Source organism: Homo sapiens, chromosome 2, assembly GCF_000001405.40.
Source record: "Homo sapiens chromosome 2, GRCh38.p14 Primary Assembly".
In the NCBI taxonomy this organism is placed as follows: Eukaryota; Metazoa; Chordata; class Mammalia; order Primates; family Hominidae; genus Homo; species Homo sapiens.
In genome coordinates, this window is record NC_000002.12 from 37,142,230 (window position 1) to 37,166,246 (window position 24,017).

Genomic DNA, 24,017 nt, shown 5'->3' on the forward strand with positions numbered 1-24,017 from the left:
AAACCATCTTCCTGTCTCAGCCTCACAAGCACCTGGAACTACAGGCACACACCACCATGCCTGGGTAATTTTTTTGTATTTTTTGTAGAGACAGCGTTTGGCCATATTGCCCAGGCTGTTCTCGAACTCCTAAGCTCAAGTTATCTGCCCGCCTCAGCCTTCCAAAATGCTAGGATTAGAGGTGTGAGCCACCACACCCGGCTGAGTTTTGCTATTTTATTAATCTTGTCAAAAAACTAGCTTTTGGTTTTATTGATCTTTTTTTTTTATTTTTTATTTCTTTTATAGTAATTTCAACCATTGTTATTTTCTTTCTTCTGCTTTTTGGGGGTAAAACATTCTGTTTTTTGTTTTTTCTAACTTCTTGACTCAATTTTCTACCTCATTAATAATTATACTTTGCACTTTTGCTTGAGTTAAAAAAAAATTGGTTAGAAGGGTATCTTTAAGTAGATTTTTCAAGAAAGAACCTTGAAACCTAAATTTTCCCAACATTTTCCAAATCTGAGAATGGCCCTCTGGTGTCTAAAATGTAAATGACTTCATGTTTCATTTTATAAGCATTGCTACACTATCTCCTGGTTTATAATGTTGCTGTGCACAGCATGAAATTTTAAAAATTTTTACATTTTACATAGTTTTCCTCTTCTCTCTAGATGCTTATAAAATTCTTTCCTCATCTCTGGAGCACAGTACTTTCATAAGAATCAATGTTGGGGCCGGGCGCGGTGGCTCACACCTGTAATCCCAGCACTTTGGGAGACCAAAGCGAGTGGATCACGAGGTCAGGAGTTAAACACCAGCCTGGCCAACATAGTGAAACCCTGTCTCTACTAAAAATATCAAAAAATTAGCTGGCCGTGGTGGTGGGTGCCTGTAATCTCAGCTACTCAGGAGGCTGAGGCAGAGAATTGCTTGAACATGGGAGGCGGAGGTTGCAGTGAGATTGTGCCACTGCACTCCAGCCTGGACAACAGAGCGAGACTCTGTCTCAAAAAAAAAAAAAAAAAAGAATCAATGTTGGTCTGGGTGGTTCTAAATTTTCCTGTATCTATTAAGTTGTTTTAATCTGCAGTCAAGTCTTTCTTTATTTCATAAACATTGTCTGCTGAAATCTCTTCAGATCATTTTCTTCTGCACTATTTACTCTGTTCTTATTTTCCGGGATACCAGTCACATGTATATTGGTTCTCCATTACCTGCTCTCTGTAAACACTTGGCTCGCTATATCCACGGGTTTCAAATCCCTGGATTCAACCAATCATGGATCAAAAATATTTGGAAAAAAAATGATGGTTGCATCTGTACTAAATATATGCAGATTTTTTTTCTTGTATTATTCCCTAAACAATACAGCATAACAACTACTTATAGCTGGGTGTGGTGGCTCATGCCTGCAATCCTAGCACTTTGGGAGGCTGAGGTGGGCAGATTGCTTGAGTCCAGGAGTTCAAGACCAGCCTGGGCAACATAGTGAGACTCCATCGCTACAAAAAATGCAAAAATTGGCCAGGTGTGGTGGCTCGTGCCTGTAGTCCCAGCCAGTTGGGATGCTAAGGTGGGAGGATCACCTGAGCCTGGGGAGATTGAGGCTGCAGTGACCCTTGATCATGCCACTGCACTCCAGCCTGGGTGACAGAGTACGACCCTGTCTCAAAAAACGACAACAACAACAACAAAAAAACTATTTACATAGCATTTACATTGTATTAGAGATATTATAAGTAATCTAGAGATGATCTAAAGGATAATCATGTACTACATAATCACATTTTGGTCAACAATGGACTGCATATATGACAGTGGTCCCATAAGATTATAATGGAGCTAAAAAATTACTGTCATCTAATGAGGTCATAGCCACTGTAATGGCTAAATTTCATATTTTTAGTACAGACAGCATTTCGCCATATTGCCCAGGATAATTTTAAACTCCTGGGTTACAGCACAATGCATTACTCACACATTTGTGGTGACACTACTGTAAACAAATCTACTGTTCTACAGTCTTATAAAAAAGTCTAGCACACACAATTATGTATAGTACATAATACTGGATAATGATAAGTAACTTACTGGTTTATATATTTACTATACTTTTTTTATCATTATTTTAGAAGTTACTCCTTCTACTTAAAAAAAAAAAAGTAAACTGTAAAACAGCCTCAGGCAGGTCCTTCGGTAGGTAATCCAAAAGAAGGAATTGCTACAATAGGAGATGACACCTCCATGTATGTTATTGCTCCTGAACACTTTCCAGAGGGACAAAATCTGGAGGTGGAAGATGGTGATGTAGATGATCCTGACGCTGTGTAGGCCTAGGCTGATGTGTGTGTTTGTGTTGTAATTTTTTTTCTTTCTTTTTTTTTTTTGAGACAGGGTCTTGCTCTGTTGCCCAGGCTGGAGTGCAGTCAGAAGATCACAGCTCACTGCAGCCCTGACCTCTCAGGCACGTGATCCTCCCGCCTAGCCTCCTGAGTAGCTGGAACTACAGGCACATGCCACCAAGCCCGGCTAATGTTTTGTGTTTTTAGTACAGACAGGGTTTCACCATGTTGCCTAGGCTAATCTCAAACTCCCAAATTCAAGTGATCCACCTACCTTGACCTACCAAAGTGCTGGGACTACAGGCATGAACCACCACACCCAGCCTTTGTTTTGTTTTGTTTTGTTTTGAGACAGGGTCTCACTCTGTCACCCAGGCTGGAGTACAGTGGCACAATCATGGCTCCTCGACATCCCAGGCATGAACCGCTATGCCCAACCATGATTTAATTTTTTACAACAAAGTTTAAAAGTTAAAAAAAAAAGTTTAAAATTTTAAAAATAGAAAAAAGCTTATAGAATAAACATGTAAAGAAACAAAATATTTTTGTACAGCCATACTATGTGTTTGTTTGTGGTTTTGTGGGTTTTTTTTTTTTTTTTTTTGAGACAGAGTCTTGCCTTGTCGCCCAGGCTGGAATGTAGTGGCACGATCTCGGCTCACTGCAACCTCCGCTTCCTGAGTTCAAGCAATTCTCCTGCCTCAGCCTCCCAAGTAGCCGGAATTATAGGTGCCCACCACCATGCCCGGCTAATTTTTGTATTTTCAGTAGAGACAGGGTTTCACCGTGTTGGCCAGGCTGATCTTAAACTCCTGACCTCAGGTGATCTGCCTGCCTTGGCCTCCCAAAGTGCCAGGATTACAGGCATGAGCCACCGCGCCTGGCCGCGTTTGTGTTTTAGGCTAAGTGTTATTTGGAAAGAGTGAAAATGTTAAAAATAAGAAGTTTATAAAGTAAAAGAGTTATAGTAAGCTAAGGTTAATTTATTATTGAAGAAAAAAAATTTAAATAAAATGAATGTTGCTTATGTATACAGTGTTTATAAAGTCTACAGTGGTAAACAATAATGCCCTAGGCCTTCACATTCATTCACCACCCACTTGCTGACAAACTCAGGGCAACTTCCAGTCCTGCAAGCTCTATTTATGCATGGTATGTGCCTTATATGGGTGTACTTTTGCTTGTCTTTTTTTTTTTTTTTTTTTTTTTTTTTTTTTTTTTTTTTGAGATAGGATCCCCAGGCTGGAGTGCAGTGGCACAACCTCAGCTCACTGCAACCTCCTTCTCCCGGGTTCAAGCAATTCTCCTACCTCAGCCTCCCAAGTAGCTGGGATTACAGGCGTCCACCACCACGCCCAGCTAATTTTTTGTATTTTTAGTAGAGACAGGGTTTCACCATGTTGGCCAGGCTGGTTTTCAACTCCTGACCTCAGGTGATCCACCCGCCTCAGCTTCCCAAAGTGCTAGGATTACAGGTGTGAGCCACCAAGCCCAGCCTTTTGTCTTTTATACTGTATTTTTACCGTACTTTTTCTGTGTTTAGATATGTTTAGATACATGAATACTAAACATTGTGTTACAATTGGCTACAGTATTCAGTACAATAATATGCTGTATAGGTTCGTAGTCTAGGAGCAATAAGCTATACTACACAGCCTAGGTGTGTACTGGTTGTACCATTCAGGATTGTGTAAGTACCTCTATGATGTTTGCCCAATGAGGAAATTGCCCAAAGGTGCATTTCTCACAATGTATTCTCCTTGTTAAGCAATGCATAACTGTATATGGGAAGATGTAAATAGGTTATATGTAAATACTATGCCATTTTATATAAAGGACTTGAGCATCAGTGAATTTTGGCATCCACAGGGAGTCCTGGTACCAATTCCCCACAGAGAGTGAGTGACCACTGTACATTATTCTCCCTACAATCACTTTCATCTCTTTTTCCTTTTTTACTGTACTTCCTCATTTAGGTGGAGGGGACTCCTCCCAGAACCTGTCAGCTCATTTCCCACTGAACACTTCTCACCTTTCCATATTTGTTCAACTTTAGAGTATTTAACTGCTGCTGACACTCTAAATAACTATTATCCAGCTTTGCCCATGGTGTCCTAGGTGTGGCTCTCACTCAGGGTTTCATAGAAATGAAGATAGGGTGAATGACTTAACCAAACTCTTGAATGTAAGGGAACGTGTGAATGGCTTTACTCTGTATGAAAGTATTTTCTCACAGAGAGAAACAGAAAATGTATTTGCAAGTTCCCATTTATTAGGAAAAAAGGCAATCACTCACCTTCTTTTCCTTATTAAGTATCTCAACAGCTAATTTGGCTGCGGCATTTTTTGCTTCCTTCTTTGATCTACCTTCACCTTCTGGAAATTCTCTTCCATCTATTATAACTTGAAATGTAAACCTGATTACAAAGAGAATATTCATAAAATATTATACAACTCATGCACTATCTAAAAACAAGTACTCTAGTCATCACTACCTCCTATGACTACCTTTGAGGGTTTGAACCTACATTCAATATAGCATTTAAGCAGTCACCTCAAACAGTAAAGCAGCATGTCTTGTTGAAGCATGGAAAGGTTTCTACCCTCTTTTCTCTCTGGAGTCAACTGTGGCTCCACCATGGTTCCCACTTTATGCCAAGAGCACTCTCACAAAACTAAAGTGTTGACCTCAAAGTTGTGCCAGAGTTGCCATTCCCCCAGCTTACATTTATAAGGTCATATCTTTTTTCTTTTTTTTTTAATTTTATTATTATTATACTTTAAGTTTTAGGGTACATGTGCACAACGTGCAGGTTACATATGTATACATGTGCCATGTTGGTGTGCTGCACCCATTAACTCGTCATTTAGCATTAGGTATATCTCCTAATGCTATCCCTCCCCCCTCCCCCCACCCCACAACAGTCCCTGGTGTGTGATGTTCCCCTTCCTGTGTCCATGTGTTCTCATTGCTCAGTTCTCACCTATGAGTGAGAACATGCGGTGTTTGGTTTTTTTGTCCTTGCGATAGTTTGCTGAGAATAATGGTTTCCAGCTTCATCCATGTCCCTACAAAGGACATGAACTCATCATTTTTTATGGCTGCCATATCATTTTTTATAGCAACCTACCTCCTATCATGTGGAGGTCCTGAATTAGGCAGTTCTTGATATTTAAGTACTACTCCCTGCTTCTGACGGTATGTATTAAGTTCCTCCATGAAGAAACCTGCTGAAAGATCACCAGCCATTTCTTCTTCCCGTATCCTACAATGGAAGAGACATTTGAATGAGTGATGCTCACAGAACATATTTAATCTGAGTTTCCCAATGCAGTTTAGGAGACAGAGGGGTTGGGGAGACTCCCCTTTATAGGACTCATCTCAGTCTCACATAAATGCAGAGACTTTCTTTCAAAACCGTTCTTTCTTTCTCATTCACTGCACAATAAAGTTAATTTCTCCAAAATTTTCTACTTTAAAAACTCAACTTGGCCAGGTGTGGTGGCTCACGCCTATAATCCCAGCCAAGGTGGGCGGATCACCTGAGCTCAGGAGTTCGAGACCAGCCTGGGCAACATGGCGAAACCCCATCTCAATTTTGAAATTGTTTTAAAAAATAAAGGAAAGAAAAAAAACTCAACTGGTCAGTGAAAGGGGGTCCTTCTCTTTAACTCTGCTCTGTGCTTCCACTGAGTATCAACTACATGTTTGCCTACCTGCTTAAAAAAGTAAAAAGGCTGCAGGATTGTAGAATGTTTTATGTTGAGAAGAAAAAGATTTAGAGTATATATAATAAGTGAAGTGGAGTGGTAGCATGGGGACAGGCTGGGAAATGAACGGGCAGGCAAGTGTGCCTGTGTGGACGTGGATCCTGCCGGAAGCCAGGCGGAGGAGAGCTCAAGCTAAGGGTGATCAGCCCGTGACCTAGATCTCTAGACAAAATAAAACAAGGAAAATATGCTAGAATCAACAATGATGGATCGATAGTTGCAGTCCAGCTTCGTACTACAAATGAGTGCCATAAAACCTACTATACTTGTCACACAGGTTTTAAGATGTTGCAAGAATTGTCATCAAATGACATGCTTTTACTTCAACTTAGAACTGGAAGGACACTTTCTAGGAACAATACAATTTGCTTTCATCACATAAAAATTTATATTGACAGATTTGAGGATTTACAGAAGTCGTGTTGTGACCCATTTAACATACACAAAAAACTAGCCCCCCAGAATTTGCATGTAATTGACTTAGATGATGCCACTTTTCTGAGTGCAAAATTCGGAAGACCGCTTGTACCTGGTTGGAAGCTTTGTCCAAAATGCACGCAGATAATCACGGAAGTGTGGATGTTGATTCTGAAGACCGCCAGAGAAGCAAACCTGAGTCAGATGGAAGAACTGCTAAAGTTTTGAGGTCATTACAATTTACAAATCCAGGAAGGCAAACTGAATTTGCTCCAGAAACTGGTAAAAGAGAAAAAAGAAGGCTTAAAAAAATGCAACCGCTGGTTCAGACAGACGAGTGATACCAGCGAAGACTAAGGTCTATGATAGCCAGGGTCTCCTGATTTTTATTGGGATGGACCTCGATGCCTCGATGAAGATTGTTTAGGATGTTTCTATGCTTGTCGTGCCTGTGGTTCTACCAAGTGTGGAGCTGAATGCCACTGTGACCGCAAGTCACAAAGTATGAGCAAACTGAAATTGAAGGAGGAGAAATAATTCATTATAAACATGCTGGATAATCTGTGGTATCAAACTATGGGGCCTTTAAAGGTCTTTATTTCTAAAATTCGGTTACTCTAAGATACATTTTAAGCTTGATTGTCAAATGACAAAGATTTTAAAAGCACCTCAATGTGCACGAATTTTTCATCTTGGGTGCTTTAAGATTCACTATTTGATATAAATTCAGATAGCCTATTTCTCAGTAGTCAGCATTAAGCCTGCCTGGACCAATATAAACATGTAGGGTGTAGGCAGGTCCTCAATGTGCACGGTTCCCATGGCACAAATTTCAGTGACCTAGATTTAGTTTAAATACCAGTTTCCTTACCAGGAAGGAAAGGAAACTGGTAAGGAAACTGGTGTTGTTTAAACCTAGGTTAAAATTTTAGGTAGCACAGTATAACTCTGAGTAATTACAGGAAGTACAAACTTCTCTGCTAGTTCTTCAGTCTACAAATCACGATGTAAATAACAGATATGCTTCATGATCAGTGACCAGTCGTGTTACTTGTTTCAAATTCTTCCAGTGGTTGGTCCCTGTGCATCTGTTAATCAGTTCACTCACAGCAGAGCACGTAGTTACACTGTCTCTTTGTCCTCCACCTGACATTTTATAGAAGTGAACAATCGAAAGAACTGGCCAACAAAGATGAAAGTCCAACAAAGCAACGAAAAATGATAACACTGGAAGTGAAATTTGAATCAAACATAAATGGATTTGTAGAAGAAGTCACTGATCATGGGAATGTTCTTCCTGCTGTGCATTCATAGGAGCTTAGTGAAGGCAAACTTATCAACACAAATAAGAAAAGTGATTGCAATAAAGATAAATATGTCCCAGAGGAAGTGACGGTAAAAAAAAAAAAAAAACAAACTTCACACTAAAGAGCATTTAATGTGAATACAGAAATACTTCACAACATTGAAAGCACAAGCAATAAAAGGCTGGAAGCTCACCCAAACTTAAAAGGAGTATGACAGTTTGCCATGAATAGAAAAGATGCTTACTCAGTATCATAAGTCACTTGGCAGAAAAAAAAGGCAATCCCTATTCAAACTACTTAGTTTTCACAATGAAATAAAACACTTTAATTCTATTTTTAATGTTTTAAATTACAGTGTACTAAATATTTTTAAATTTTTTTTGCATTTTTTTCTACATTTATAACTGACCTTAAGAGTTTTAATATTTTAGCAGAATTTTAAAGGTCATGGAACAATCATCATTTTCCCCATTGATTATTAAGATTGCTTTGCATGGCCATTTTTATGGTCCCACAGTACCATGCAAAATGAGGACCGCTTGTAGCCGGGAACAACACAATGCTTGCTTCAGGGAAAACTGATTTACACAGAAGTGACTAGTTGAGTGGTAAACTATTTTGGAAATAATCTACATATCTAAGTGCTGAAATATATTTCTCTTCTCCCCACGTATTCTTCAAATAAAAAAGTTTTAATACTTTAAAAAAGTGAAGTGTATGAAATCATGAAGGATTTAACTGTATGGATATAGATTTCTCTATGAAATCCCAAAAATCTCCCCTCTGAATTTTGCAGAAATCAATTTTAGGACAATTTAACCACTGAGTAAATTAAGACCTCTGTTTATAGGTCTCACTGGACCAAGTCTATAGCAATGATTTAAATTATAAACAAAATTTAGAGGATATAAAATATAAATGTACAAGCGAAAACTATAAAACTCTTAGAAGAAAATATGGGGGAGATCTTCATGACTTTGGATTTGGTGATAAAATTTTAGCTATGACAGCAAGAGCACAAGCAACAAAAGAAAACAGAGATAAATTGGGCTTCATCAAAATTTAAAACGTTTGTGTATCAAAGGACACTATGAAGAAAATAAAATGACAATCTACAGAATAGAATATTTACAAATCATATATCTGATGAGGGTCTAGTAACCAGATATATAAAGAATTCTTACAGCTCAACAACAAAAAGACAAACCACCCAATTAAAAAAATAGGCAAAGGGGCTTGAACAGACATCTCTCCAAAGAAAATATGTAAATCGCCAATAAGCACATGAAAAGATACTCAACATCATGAGTCATTAAAGAAATGGAATTCAAAACCACAACTAAATACAATTTCACACCCACTAGTATGGCAATAATAATAATAATCAGGAAATAATAAAAAATAAGTGTTGGTGAGGACATGGAGAAACTGGACCCCTCAAACACTGCTGATAAGAATGTAAAACAATACGGTTGCTGGGGTTCCTCTAGAAGGTAAACTTTGAATTATCATAAAACTCAGCAATTCCATTCCTAGATATTTCAAAGAATTGGAAAACAGGTTTCCAAACAAAGACTTAGACAGGAATGTACATAGCAGCACTGTTAACAATAGCCAAAAGGTGGAAACAAACCAAGTGTCCATCAACGGATAAATGGTGAACAAAATGTGAAATATATCTACACAGCGGAATATTATTCAGTCACAAAAAAAATGAAGTACTGATACATGCTACAACATGGATAGGCCAGGCGCCGTGGCTCATGCCTGTACTCCCAACACTCTGGGAGGCCGAGGCGGGCGGATCACGAGGTCAGGAGATCGAGACCACGGTGAAACCTCGTCTCCACTAAAAATACAAAAAATTAGCCGGGCGCGGTGGCGCGCGCCTGTAGTCCCAGCTACTCGCGAGGCTGAGGCAGGAGAATGGCGTGAACCCGGCAGGCGGAGCTTGCAGTGAGCTGAGATCGCGCCACTGCACTCCAGCCTGCGCGACAGAGCGAAGACTCCATCTCAAAAAACAACAACCACAACAACAAAAACATGGATAAACCTCAAAAACATTATGCAAAATGAAAAATCCAGACATAAAATTTCACACATATTGTATGATTCCCATTTATATGAAACTTCCAGAATCGGTAAATCCATAAAGGCAGAAATCAGATCCTGTAAACCTCTTAATTCTTCTTGGAAAGCTCTTTTGATCTTCTTTCTTCCAGGGCCACTCTTTCTGTTTTTTGTTTTTGAGACAGGGCCTCACTCTGTTGCCCAGGCTGGAGTGCAGTAACATGATCTCAGCTCACTGCAGCATCTGCCTCCCAGGTTCAAGCAATTTTCCTGCCACAGCCTCTCAAGTAGCTGGGACTATGGGACTACAGGTGCCCACCACCACGCCCAGCTAATTTTTGTATTTTTGAGGTTTCCCGGTGTTGGCCAGGCTGGTCTCCAACTCCTGAACTCCAGTGATCCACCAGCCTCAGCCTCCCAAAGTGCTGGGATTACAGGTGTGGGCCACCACGCCTGGCCGGGCCACTCTTTTTAACACACCTTAATCTTTGTAGCTCTAAATGCTGGCATGGCCCAACAATCCTCTTCTCTTCACTCTATACTTTCTCCTTAAGGTGATTTCTTTCACGTCCATGATTTCAGTGATCATCTATACGCCATTACCTCTAAAGTTTACATATTCCTTATGAACCGCTCTGAGTTTCAGATCTCTCTATCCAAATTCTCCACTTGAACATCTTGAACGAACTTTAAACTCAAAATATCCTGTACTGCATGTATGATCTTCTCCCAAGCTGGTTTGAAGTTTCCTTTCACAGGAAATGAGTCCACCATCTATCCAAGTCTGAAAGCCATCAATCTGGGAGGCATCCTTGACATTTCCTCTCCCTGCCTTCTAATCTATAACTAAGTCCTGTCACCAAAATCTTTCTACTTCTCAAAGATGTCTACACTTACCATCCTAGTTCAAGCCAACACCACCTCATTCCTGGATTGCTGTGAGAATCTCAGAACCAGTTCCGACAGCTACTTCAATTCCTTCTCTACCCTGCAACCATTGTGATTTTTTTTTTTATGTTTTAAAATTGTGATAAAATACACATAACATGAAATGTACTATTTTTCAATGTATTAATTCCCTGCCTTTAAGTACATTCACAATGTTGTGTAGCCGCCACCACATCCACATCCACAACTCTTAATCTTTCCAAACAGAAAGTGTGTACCCATTAAACAGTAACTCCCCATTTCCCAGTCCTTTCAGTCTCTGCTAATCTTTTTTTTTTTTTTTTTTTTTGAGACAGGGTCTCGCTCTGTTGCCCAGGCTGGAGTGCAGTGGTGTGATCACAGCTTACTGCAGCCTTGAACTCTGGGCTCAAGCGATCCTCCCACCTCAGCCTCCCGAGTAGCTGGGACCATAGGCGTGGGCATGCCTGGTTAATTTTTTATATTTTCTAATCTCTCTTCTGTCTCTGTAAATTTGCCTGTTCTAGGTACCTCATATAAGTGGAATCAAACAGTATTTGTCCTTTTGTGTCTGGTTATTTCACTTAGCAAAATGTCTTCAAGGTTCATCTATGTTGTAGCATATGTCAGAATTCCTTTCCTTTTTAAGGCTGAATAATATTCCGTTGTGTATATATACCATATTTTGTTCATGCATTCATTTATGAATGGACACTGGTTATTTCAACCTTTTGGCCATCTTGAATCATGCTGCTGTGAACACTGGTATACATATATCTGTTTAAGTCCCTACTTCTGAATATTTGTGGTATATAAGTGGAATTGAATCACATGATAATTCTGTTTAACTTTGTGATGAATCACCAAATTGTTTTCCACAGTGGTTACACCCATGTTACATTTCCACCAGCAATGCACGAGGGTTCTAATTTCTCCACATCCTCACCATCACTTGTTATTATCTGTTTTCTTTTTTAATACAGCCACATCATGATCTTTTTAAAACATCAATTCAGTGGCCAGGCGCGGTGGCTCACACCTGTAATCCCAGCACTTTGGGAGGCCAAGGCGGGCAGATCACCTGAGGTCGGGACTTCAAGACCAGCCTGACCAACATGGAGAAACCCCATCTCTACTAAAAATACAAAATTAGCCGGGGTGGTGGCACATGCCTGTAATCCCAGCTACTCGGGATGCTGAGGAAGGAGAATCGCTTGAACCCAGGAGGTGGAGGTTGCGGTGAGCTGAGATCGTGCCATTGCACTCCAGCCTGGGCAACAAGAGCGAAACTCCGTCTCAAAAAAAAAAACAAAAACAAAACAAACAAACAAAAAAACATCAATTCAATCATGCAGTCTCCACAAGCCACTGAAATTGTTTTTGTCGAGGTTACCAATGGCTTCCCTATCACTAAATCCAGTAGTCAGTTCTTAGTCCTTCTCTACTTGACTTACAACCAGCATTTGATGGGGTTGCGCATCCTCTTCGCCCTCCTCTCCCTGTCTTAGCTTGGACTTTTAAGACACCCACTCTCCTAGTTTTCTTCTTTTGAGACAGAGTTTCGCTCTTGTTGCCCAGGCTGGAGTGTGATGGTGGCATCTCGGCTCGCTGCAACCTCTGCCTCCCGGGTTCAAGCGATTCTCCTGCCTCAGCATTCCGAGTAGCTGGGATTACAGGCGCCCACCACCACGCCCGGCTAATTTTTTATATTTTTAGTAGAGACGGGGTTTCCCCATGTTGGCCAGGCTGGTCTCAAACTCCTGACCTCAGGTGATCCACCCACCTTGGCCTCCCAAAGTGCTGCGATTACAGGCATGAGCCATGGCACCTGGGCCTGGTTTTCTTCTGTTCTGACAAGCTACTCCTTTTCTGTCTCCTTTCCTGGTTCATCTTCAACTTCTTTTCTTCTATTTTTTTTTTTTTAACCTTTTCTATGGTTCTAACTTCCTCTTTTCTAGATATTCTAGCATCACTGGGCCCGGTCCTTAGACTTGCTCTTTTCTACTTGGACTCACTCCCCTGGTGATCACCTCCAGGTTTGTGGCTTTAAATTCCACGGACACAATGATGGTTCTCAAAAGCACGCTTCCACCATGGACTCTCTCCTGAACTCCCAACTGCCTCTGTCCAACCTGCTCCCTCCTAAAATGCCCTTGACTCTATTCCTTCTGCTGTCTTGGCCTGGTCAATTTCTACTTCCTACAGATTTCAGCTCAAAATCCCAGACACTCCTTCACAGGCTCTTCCACAGTGCTCATCCCCTTTATTAAAATTGCTTATTTAACTATTTTCCAAAATAGAGCATGAATTACTACAGGTAAGGGACCAGGCTCAATAATGAATGAGTGAGTACCAAAATATCTCCAGATACCCCATCCAGGACTTGTCACCTGCTTTTCTCTACATTTATAGTGCAATATCTGCATTCTCTCTGTACCCACCAATATCCACTCATCTATCAGGATCAACACAGCCTTCTTTGATGCTGGAGGGTCAGCTAGTATGGGCTTGCCACTCCACCTTGCCCAACCTTCAACACAGCCCTGACTGCTTTTTAAACTAATTAGTGAGCTCTTTGGGGAGCAGATTCTACATCTTATTCACTCATCTGGAAGAAACCTCCATCATAATCACTAAAAAATAATATTTGTCCATCTTACTAATGCCCAGAAATTATTTTGGCTATGCCTCCACTTCCTTTCCAGCAGACTACATACAGCCTGGCCAACACGGTGAAACCCTGTCTCTACTAAAAATAAAAAAATTAGTTGGCTGTGCTGGCGGGCACCTGTAGTCCCAGCTACCTGGGAGGCTGAGGAAGGAAAATCGCTTGAACCTGAGAGGCAGAGGTTGCAGTGAGCCCAGATCGTGCCACTGCATTCCAGCCTGGCGACAGAGTGAGAATCTGTCTCAAAAAAAAAAAAAAAGAAAAGAAAAGAAAGAAAATGTCACCAGGTGATAACTACTATGTTGACAACCGAAGTAGTGGAAGGGGGAACAGCAAGGGCAGAGCGGGGTTTCTTGTATAGGCAGGTTGTTTGAGGAAGGCTGCTCTGATAAGCTGGCATGGGAAGCAGTGCAGGATAAGGGAGGGATTTCCCCATGCAGTTATCTGGGGAAGAAGCTTTCCAGAAAGAAGAAACAAGCAGTGCAAAGGCCTAGAGGCTGGAGGATGCTTGGCTGTGCACCAGGAACAGCAAGGAAGCCAGCGTGGCCGGAGTAGGGGGTGCGAGGGGCCTTGCCTGTGAGCCTTAATAAATGTTTATAGGATTCTGATGAGACAGGAAAGCTACGGGGAAGGTCGGAGCAGGGGAGAGTCTGGTTCTTACTTAAAGGAACATTCCAGATGCTGAGGTGTGGAGAAGAGGTAGGGGGTGGAGGTTCAGGGGTGAGGATACGGAGTGGGAACAGGAACTGCGGCCAGGCAATTGGGAAACTACTGCAACTCTCCACGGAAGAGATTTTTAGCCAAAGATTGTTCAGCCAGTCTATGAGTATTTCAGGCCTCCGTATTTTCCATGTGTCAAGCCACTAGGCCTATTCGTCTTCCACTAGACCCCGCCCCACAACTGCTGCCTGGGAAATATTTGTTACTTGCACTGATAAAAATTCTTCACGGGAAGGAAATGGCTTTCAGTCCCCACCCCGCTCCACGATCCTTTCCCTGGATTTGGGGAGGGCCCCACACCCGGGCTGCGGACCTGGGCCTGCTCTCCCAGTGCTGACCCAGCCGGGGCCAGGGGCTTCGGATCAGCGTCCGCGTCCTGAGCTGGGGACGCAGGATTGGCGAGTCCCGCCCCGGCTGGGCCTGCAGCCCCTCGTACGTGGCCCCCCGGCCCCCGCTCCCCGCGCTCCCTCGGCTGCCCCCTGCCCTGCTCACCTGCGCCGCCGCCGCCGCCGCCGCCGCCGCCGGCCGGAGACCCGCGGCTTCGGGAGAGCTGGTTCTCAGTTTCGTTTTCCCCTTGGACTCCGCCTTCCCTGCAGCCGCCCGGCCCCCTCTCGCACAAGCCCTCGTCTGCTACGGGATTGGGGTAAATTGGCGCTGGATCCAGAGTGCGCGCGAGAGGCACTGGCGGGCGGGCTTGGCACCGGCGGGCGGGCTTGGCACCGGCAGGCGGGCTTGGCACCCACGTGCTGCCCCTGCACGGCCAGGACCCTGCACCCCCATCCCCCGCCCCCGGGGCTCCTAGGGTTCTCCGCTGGCCTAGTCCGCTGGCCGCACTAGGTTCTCGAATCAAGGGTTCCACTTACTCTCAACACAAATATTTGGGGTGGGGTTGGGAAGATGGATCTTACCAGCTCCATTCTACAATAGAGGAAACTGAGTAAATGAACTCACCCAGGGGTCCTGCCGCTCGTAAGTGGCAAAGCCAGGATTCAGTTCAAGTCGGGGCCTGTAAACACCAAAGCACTCTTTCCCTCTTGCCACACCGCGGCCCCCTCACCTTTACAAGCCTGGGGATCAGAGGCCTGGGGGCGTAATCTCCTTCACTCCGCTCCCACCCATCCATTCATTCATGAGCAGACACTTGCCAGCCGCTGTAAAAGCACCTGTGGGCCAGTCCTGCTGCTAAATAGAGACACCTGCTTCCTACAGTACCCCAGGGAGCTTCCTACCATAGTCCAACACCAGTAGTCCTCGATTTATAGAAATTCTACTCACCTGATGGACTGCGACACACTCCCAGAGTCACACAGAGTTCCAGAGTTCATTGGCACAGTGACTAATGAGTATTGAGGCACAGAGAATTTGGATTAACACAGGTAGTAAGCAGCGGAGTTAGAATTATAACCAGGAGTTTGTACTCTCAGTATCTTAGCTGGGATAAGAGAGGAAGGTGGTCCAAAGACAGACCTCAAATATACATTAAATATTATGCCTAGGCCGGCGCGGTGGCTCATGCCTGTAATCCCAGAAATTTGGGAGGCTGAGACGGGCGGATCACCTGAGGTCAGGAGTTCAGGACCAGCCTGGCCAACATGGCAAAACCCCGTCTCTACTAAAAAACACAAAAATTAGCTGGGCGTGGTGGCAGGCACCTGTAATCCCAGCTACTCCAGAGGCTGAGGCAGGGAGAATTGCTTGAACCTGGGAGGCAGAGATTGTAGTGAGCTGAGATCATGCCACTACACTCCAGCCTGGGTGACAGAGTGGGACTCCAATTCAAAAAAAAAAAAAAAAAATTACACCTAGGCAGGCATCCTCTCCAGCCTCCCTTCTCCATCCCCCAACAACCCCACATTGCAGGGTATCAACAACTAAAATCTACACTTTCCTTGTAGCTCTGGTCCTGGGCATAGCTTAAGTCCCCTATATGTAAAGCACTGGCGGGAGGTTTAGAAGGTAGACATGAGGCAGAGCCATCTTTTTGTGGCATTTCCAGGTGACAAGAAAACTCTGACAGTGCTGTGTGTCCATTTGTCAGCTTTGTGGGTGTGGGATGGCTGTGGCAGCAGCAATGGCAGTAGCAAGGACAAGTTTTTCTGACTTTTTGAGCCCCTGAACTGCCCAAGAGAGCTTAAAGAATGAAAAATGGCAAGCTTAAGCATGATCAGAGGACACACGCTTTTATGACTGTACCAGAAAACCCTCCTATTTCAGGGAGCCTCAGGGGTGATGTAAAAATCTGCCTTCTCTGCTGGGGAAAGATTTGGAAGGAATGATATCAGAGGGTTGGTGATGAGGTCCAGGGGAATGATATGATATGGGTGAACCTCTTGGAATGGGTAAAGTGTGAGCATATTGGACTCCCTGAGGAGCCCAATTCCCTACTGTCTGGGCTCTCAGCTGCAAAGCTTGGTGCTGCAGGCACCAGAATTACAATATAATTGTTTTGAGACAGAGTCTTGCTGTGTTGCCGAGGCTGGAGTGCAGTGGCACAATCTTGGCTCACTACAACCTCTGGCTCCCGGGCTCAAGCAATTTCCCTGCCTCAGCCTGCCAAGTAACTGGGATTACAGGCGTGTGCCACCGCACCTAGCTAATTTTTGTATTTTTAGTAGAGAAGGGGTTTCACCATATTGGCCAGCCTGGTTTGGAACTCCTAACCTCAAGTGATTCCCCCACCTCGGCCTTCCAAAGTACTGAGATTACAGGCGTGATCCACCGCGCCCAGCCTAGAATTACAACAAAAATTTTCATTTGCAGCCTCATCAGGTCTCTTCTGTGAACACTGAGGGCATTGATTGTGAAAGAAAGAAGCCCTGGGAATTTGGGTGGATTTGAATGAATCCAAGTGCCACTGCCCTCCTAAATTCTGCTGTGTCTCCACAGGCTTCCCACCATTGTCTGATAAGGCTGGTACAGCCTACATTAAAAAGCATGAAACAGTCACCCTGCAAGGAGGTGCTGATTCTCCAAATATCCTATCTCTACCTGTGCCTTCACTCCTAGAACTAGAATCAGATGCTAATGCGCCCCAAGAGGATATGGACAAGATCTGATGGAGGGGTGATGCTTTACACAACAAAAGAGCAACAGAAAGCAAGAAATAGACATGGCAATGAGTCTAAAGATGACGTGAAGAAAGCTGAAAGTTGAGGCTGAGCGCGGTGGCTCATGCTTGTAATCCCAGCACTTTGGGAGGCCGAGGTGGGCGGATCATGAGGTCAGGAGATTGAGACCATCCTGGCCAACATGGTGAAACCACGTCTCTACTAAAAATACAAAAATTAGCTGGGCGTGGTGGCATGTGCCTGTAATCCCAGCTACTTGGGAGGCTGAGGCAGGAGAATCGCTTGAACCAGGGAGTCGGGGTTGCAATGAGCCAAGATCGTGCCACTGCACTCCAGCCTGGCAACAGAGCAAGAAAAAAAAAAAAAAAAGAAAGAAAGTTGATGTACTGCCTCTAGCAGTGGGAGCGCTAAGCCAGTTTGCCCAGTTGGTTTACTATAATATCAGCTCAGTGGCAGCTCACACTAAATGTAAATGTAATGCCAAGTAATGCAGATGAAGAAATCAAAAATACTTAGGGAGTCAGGAATATTGGAGTAGATTCATCTTATGCAACCTAGTCACTTACTTCCTAACCATGGACCCCAAGAAGATCCAAAGTCCCCTCCTTCAGTGGCTTATACAGAGCCAGTGGCTGGCAATGCAGCTGATGTTCAGAGAGTTGGAAGGAATGATATCAGAGGGCTGATGATGAGGTCTAGGGAAATGATGTGCTTGAACCACTTCGAATGGGCAGAGTGTGCATATTGGGCTCCCTTTTGAATGTTCACCAAAGGCAACCACTTCTAAAGAGGCTTTTGAGAAGCAGTTGAGCAAGAAGACTTCTGTTAGCCTTTTCCCCAGCTATCCCTGTGCTTGTTTCAACAAATAAAGAGGCTGTGACAGCAGGAATGGAGGATATGTGTGAGTTTATCCACATGGGCTTCTCAGGCCTTACTACGTAACTCTTTGTGAATATCAGTATGGTTATTGACCTATAGTCAATCCCATAAGTCTATCTCTTTTAATACAGTGACTTTTAGATCAAAATGTGTAATGCTAAAGCAACGAATCAGACACAGATAGAAGAATCGTATGTATCAATTATTCTTAATTCTCTTTTTACTAGCAGAGGAAAAATAATAACTGTTATTCCTGCTTTTGGAAATTGTAGAGTGGTCCATATTTATGTTGTACCATATCTCTTGTGGCTCTTTTCCTCAGATGTTTCTGCTTTAGTAATTTGTCTTGCTTACTTATAAACTCTTCTTGTCAATAGTCCCCACATGCACATTATTATAAAATCATCGCTATGGTCTGAATGTTTGTGTCCTCCCTAAAACTCATAAGTTAAAAGCGAATCACCAATGTGATGGTATTAGGAGGTGTGGCCTTTGGGTGGTGGAACTGGTGCTCTTATAAAAGAGGCCCCAGAGATCTGCCTTGTCCCTTTCATCATGCAGAATACAGAAAGAAGGCCGGGCGTGGTGGCTCACGGCTGTAATTCCACCACTTTGGGAGGCCGAGGTGGGTGGATCACTGGACGCCAGGAGTTCGAGACCAGCCTAGCCAACATGGCAAAACCTTGTCTCTACTGAAAATACAAAAATTAGCTGGGCATGGTGGTGCATGCCTATAGTTCCAGCTACTCCAGAGGCTGAGGCAGGAGAATTGCTTGAACCTGGGAGGCATAGGTTGCAGTGAGCTGAGATCATGCCACTGCACTCCAGCCTGGGCGACAGAGAGAGACTGTCTCAAAAAAAAAAAAAAAAAAAAAGAAAGAAAGAGAAAGAAAAGAAAGAAAGAAAGAAAGAAAGAAAGAAAGAAAGAAAGAAAGAAAGAAAGAAAGAAAGAAAGAAAAAAGTCAAGCCCAGAATCATCAAGGGCTTACAAGACACTATATTTCCTGCACCCTGGTTGCCACTTTAACCTCGTCTCTTGTTTCTCTGCCCCTCTTTCATTCTCCTCTAGTTACATTGTCCTCCTTGTGGTTTTTCAAGAATGCCAGGTATACTACTGTCTCAGTGCCTCTGTACTTGCTCTTCCTTTTGCCTGGAACCTCATCCTTCAGATATCTGCAAAACTCACAGATCTTGTTGAAACGTCACTTGCTCACGAAGCCCCCTGACTACACTATTTAAGTTCCAATCACTACTGTCACCCTGTTGTCACTCCCTATCCCCCTCATTCTATTCTATTTCCCCTCCATGGCACTTACAGCCTTCTATTATACAATACAACTTATTGATTTATTGTCTTTGTTTTCTCCTTCCTCTGACATGTAAAGTCACATGGACAGGGATTTTTGACTGTTTTATTCGCTAATTATTTCATTGTCTAGAATAGATCTGGGCCAAAACTGGGCTGCTGCCTGTTTTTGTAAATAATGCTTTATTAGTGCACAACCACATTCATTCATCTATATATTGTCTATGGCTGCTTTGACACTAAGATGAGTTGTGTTGAGTCACTGTGACAGAAACTGCATGACCAGTAAAATTGAAAATATTTACTATCTGACCCTTCACAAAAAATGTTTGCTGATCCTTGTTCTAGAATAATGACTGGCCGTGGAGGAGGAGTGGAACTAGCAAGGACACTGGGAGGCAGCAGCTAATAGGGAAAACAAGAGACATGGACTCCTACAAGCCAAGTGAAAAAAAATTTTTTCTGGGAGGAAAGCGTAATCCACTATGTCAAATGCTGCTTAACAAATCCTTGTTGAATGAATACTGGGAGACAGATGAAGGCCCCAGTGTTCCTCTCCCTGATGCTATTCCTCTTCCTCTTCTCAGCAGAGATAATCACTCATTTAAGTTATTCACATTCATGACTTAAAGGGTATTACCTCTGTATGCATTCATTTTTAAAAATAAAATCTTCATATGTTTTAAACTTGCTTTTTGTATTCATTTTTTTTTCTGAAAGTGGTGAAATACACATAACATAAAATTCACCATTTTAACCTTTTTTTTTTTTTCTTTTTGAGACAGAGTTTCGCTCTTGTCACCCAGGCTGGAGTGCGGTGGCACGATCTCGGCTCACTCCAACCTCCACTTCCTGGATTCAAGCGATTCTCCTGCCTCAGCCTCCCGAGTAGCTGGGATTACAGGCGCCCACCACCACACCTGGCTAATTTTTCGTATTTTTAGTAGAGACGGGGTTTCACCATATTGGGCAGGCTGGTCTCGAACTCCTGACCTCAGGTGATCCGCTCACCTCAGCCTCCCAAAGTGCTGGGATTACAGGCGTGAGCCACCACAGCCAGCCTAACCCTTTTAAAGCATATGATTCAGGGGGACTTAGTACATTCACAATATTTTGCAACCATCACCACTGTCTAGTTTCAAAACATTTCACCACCCCAGAAAGAAACCTCATATTGATTAAGTAATTCTTATGTGTTTTAAGAGTTATTTACTTTACCATGGTCAGCCTGGTGATCAAAAATAATCATAATAAATAAAATTTAAATTTAAAAAGATATTTACTTAATATACATAGCTCTAATTCATTTAACTGCTGAATATTTATTTCTATTAATATTTCAAAATTTTCTTATCCATTCTTCTCAGTTTTGTTTTTAAATTTCTCACTATTTACAAATAATGCTGCAATGAAGATTTTCCTTCATGTTGCCTTATACAAATAAGGAAGAGTTTCTCTTAGATATACGCCCAGGAATGTAATTGCTGGATTGTGAAGTATATGCACAAATAACTACCAAATTTCTTTCCAAAATGTACAAGAGTATACTTCTATTTCTTCTCTCTTATCCTTTGTCTCATTGTTGTCATAGATTTACTTCTATATATAAGCCCCAAAATACATTGTTATTACTTTTGCTTTGAATAGATAGATAATTATCTTTTAAAGAGATTATAAAGACAGATTTTTTAGATAGAGTTTCACTCTGTTACCCAGGCTGGAGTGTGGAGTGCACTGGCGTGGCAATCTCAGCCCATTGCAAACTCTGCCTCCTGGGCTCAAGCAATTCTCTTGCCTCAGCCTCCTGAGTAGCTGGGATTACAGGTGCCCACCACCACACCTGGCTAATTTTTGTATTTTTAGTAGAGATGGGGTTTCACCATGGTAGTCAGCCTGGTCTCAAACTCCTGATCTCAGGTGATCCACCTGCCTTGGCCTCCCAGAGTGCTGGGATTACAGGCATGAGCCACCACACCTGGCCATGGGGAAATATAGTTTATATATACCCACACATTCGCCATTTTTGGTGCTCTTCATTCCTCTGTGTAGACCCAAATTTCCATCTGGCATCATTTTCCTTCATCTAAAGAACTTCTAGTATTTCTATAGTACATATCTGTTGGAAATTATTTTTTTCAGGCTTTATTTGACAGAAAAAGTATTTATCTGTTTTTTTTTGAGACGGAGTCTCGCTCTGTCGCCCAGGCTGGAGTACAGTGGCACGATCTCGGCTCACTGCAAGCTCTGCCTCCCAGGTTCACGCTATTCTCCTGCCTCAGCCTCCCGAGTAGCTGGGACTACAGGTGCCCACCACAATGCCTGGCTAAATTTTTTTTTGTATTTTCAGTAGAGACGGGGTTTCACCGTGTTAGCTAGGATGGTCTCGATCTCCTGACCTTGTGATTCGCCCTCCTCAGCCGCCCAAAGTGCTGGGATTACAGGTGTAAGCCACCGCACCTAGCCAGAAAAAGTATTTATCTTCTTTTCTGAAAGATATTTTTGACTGATATCAAATTCTAGGTGGACCGAGATTTTCTTTCAGTCTTTCAAAGATATTACTCTATTGCCTTCTATCTTGCATAGTTTCTGATGAGAAGTCTGTTGTATTTCTTATGTGTTTCTTCATATGTAACATCTTTTTTCTTTTTTTTTTTTTTTTTTTTTTTTTTGAGACGGAGTCTCGCTCTGTTGCCCAGGCTGGAGTGCGGTGGCGGGATCTCGGCTCACTGCAAGCTCCGCCTCCCGGGTTCACGCCATTCCCCTGCCTCAGCCTCCCAAGTAGCTGGGACTACAGGCGCCCGCCACTACGCCCGGCTAATTTTTTGTATTTTTAGTAGAGACGGGGTTTCACCGTTTTAGCCGGGATGGTCTCGATCTCCTGACCTCGTGATCCGCCCGCCTCGGCCTCCCAAAGTGCTGGGATTACAGGCGTGAGCCACCGTGCCCGGCCAACATCTTTTTTCTTTAGCTGCCTCAAAGAATTCTCTTTGTCACTGGTGTTCAGCAATTGCATTAGGATGTGTTTTGGTGCCATTTCATTATGTTTATTCAGCTTGGGGTTTGTTGAACTTCTTGAATCTGCAGATTTATAGTTATTTGAATTTGAACAATTTCAGTCATCAATTTTTCAATTTTTTTCTGTACCTCTTTCCTTTTCCTGATATTCCAATTACATGCAAATTTGCTTGATATTGTCCCATAAGTCACTGAAGCTCCGTTTATGTTTTTCTGTAGTCTTTTTTTTTTCCTGTCTTCATTTAGAATAGAATAGTTTCTATTGCTATGCCTTCAAGTTCCCTGGTGTTTTCTTCCTCTCCATCTAATCTACTGTTTATTCATCCAGTGTATTTTTTATTTCAGATATTGTGTTTTTCATCTCTAAAACTTCCATTTGGGTCTGTTTACATTATCCATTTCTCTTCTCATCATTTTTTTTTTACCCATTTGAGCATATTTATAAAATGTATAATAGCTCTTTTAAGATATTTATCTGCTAATTCCACCATTTCAGCCATTTGTCTGTTTCTATTAATTGATTTTACTCCTGGATATGGGTCATGTTTTCCTATTTCTTTTTATGCTTGAAAAATATTTATTGGATGGCAGACATAGTGTTGGGGCTTTATTTTTTTAAATTCATTTTTTAAATGTTGGACATTTTATCTAGCATTTTTTTTTTTCAAACTGGTAAGCAATTAAGTTACTTGAGTTCATTTCAATGCATTCTAGGCTTGCTTTTGTTACAGCAGGGCTAGGGCTAATTTAGCCCTACTTCTAAGGTCTGAACATTCTGGGAAATCTACCCAATGCCCTGGGTATTAGTCTCTCCACTTTGACTGATGGGAACACAAACTATTTCCACCTCTGAATGAGGTCCAGGAAAATTCTTTGGCTCACTGCTTTCCAGTAATCCTTTCCTTGTCTTGATGGGACTTTACACTGTCTTTGTAAAGTTTTATTCCATGCATACACATATCTGCACTCAGTTAAAGATTAGAAAGATTCCCTCTGCAGATCTCTGAGGTTCTTGCTATGTTAAATTTTTAACATACAGTGCTCTTTTCCCCAGCAATGTGCTCTGAAAATCTAGCCTCCTCAGCCTGCCTGACTCCCAATATCCAACTCCAATTTTATGAGACTTTTGTATGATGTTCCTTTTCCCTGTACTGCAGCTTGGAAACTGCCTATAGATAGCACGTTCAGGAAGGTGTAGGGATCAACTCACTTGTTTACTCCTTCTCAGAGATCCCAGTATTCCTCTGACTGTTGTTCAATTTTCCTAATTAGTACATTTTTCTCATTATCTATTTATTTACCATTTGGATGTCCTCTTCTATAAATTACCTGTCTATATCCTTTACACTTTTTTTTAAGAGACAAGGTCTTTGTTGCCCAGGCTAGAGTGCAGTGATACAATCATGGCTCACTGCAGCCTCAACCTCCTGGGCACATGCAATCCTCCTGCCTCAGTCTCCTGAGTAGCTGGTACTATGGGCACACACCGCCATGCCTGGTTAATTTTTTTTTTTTTTTTTTTTGGTAGAGATGAGGTCTTCCTATGTTGCTCCAGCTGGTCTT

General features: G+C 42.5%; 1 protein-coding gene and 1 pseudogene across 6 annotated transcripts in view, besides 3 other annotated features; one reads left to right on the top strand and one right to left on the bottom strand.

The window, feature by feature from the left end:
* Nucleotides 1-14,751, bottom strand: part of EIF2AK2 (eukaryotic translation initiation factor 2 alpha kinase 2) — a 57,771-nt gene extending 43,020 nt beyond the window's left edge. For 2 of the 6 annotated variants that reach the window (XM_047445116.1, XM_011532987.3), the window contains exons 1-4: nt 14,679-14,751; nt 6,628-6,710; nt 5,459-5,593; nt 4,624-4,744 (exon numbers count right to left, since the gene is read on the bottom strand). In XM_047445116.1, the coding sequence (XP_047301072.1) occupies nt 4,624-4,744; nt 5,459-5,577 (240 nt within the window). In that variant the 5' untranslated portion in view covers nt 5,578-5,593; nt 6,628-6,710; nt 14,679-14,751. Of the gene's footprint in view, nt 1-4,623; nt 4,745-5,458; nt 5,594-6,627; nt 7,029-14,678 lie in introns of those variants that run through there. The other 4 variants (XM_047445115.1, NM_002759.4, NM_001135651.3 and 1 more) reach the window with 3 other exon arrangements.
* ARL14EPP1 (ARL14EP pseudogene 1) lies at nt 6,143-7,075 on the top strand (annotated as a pseudogene).
* Nucleotides 14,541-14,660: a silencer, noted in NCBI's record as "silent region_11353". NCBI's record gives its function as "represses an Ori minimal core promoter by ATAC-STARR-seq in GM12878 lymphoblastoid cells {active_cell/tissue: GM12878}" and the evidence as "EXISTENCE:reporter gene assay evidence [ECO:0000049][PMID:35858748]".
* Nucleotides 14,681-14,810: an enhancer, noted in NCBI's record as "active region_15580". NCBI's record gives its function as "activates an Ori minimal core promoter by ATAC-STARR-seq in GM12878 lymphoblastoid cells {active_cell/tissue: GM12878}" and the evidence as "EXISTENCE:reporter gene assay evidence [ECO:0000049][PMID:35858748]".
* Nucleotides 14,861-15,050: a silencer, noted in NCBI's record as "silent region_11354". NCBI's record gives its function as "represses an Ori minimal core promoter by ATAC-STARR-seq in GM12878 lymphoblastoid cells {active_cell/tissue: GM12878}" and the evidence as "EXISTENCE:reporter gene assay evidence [ECO:0000049][PMID:35858748]".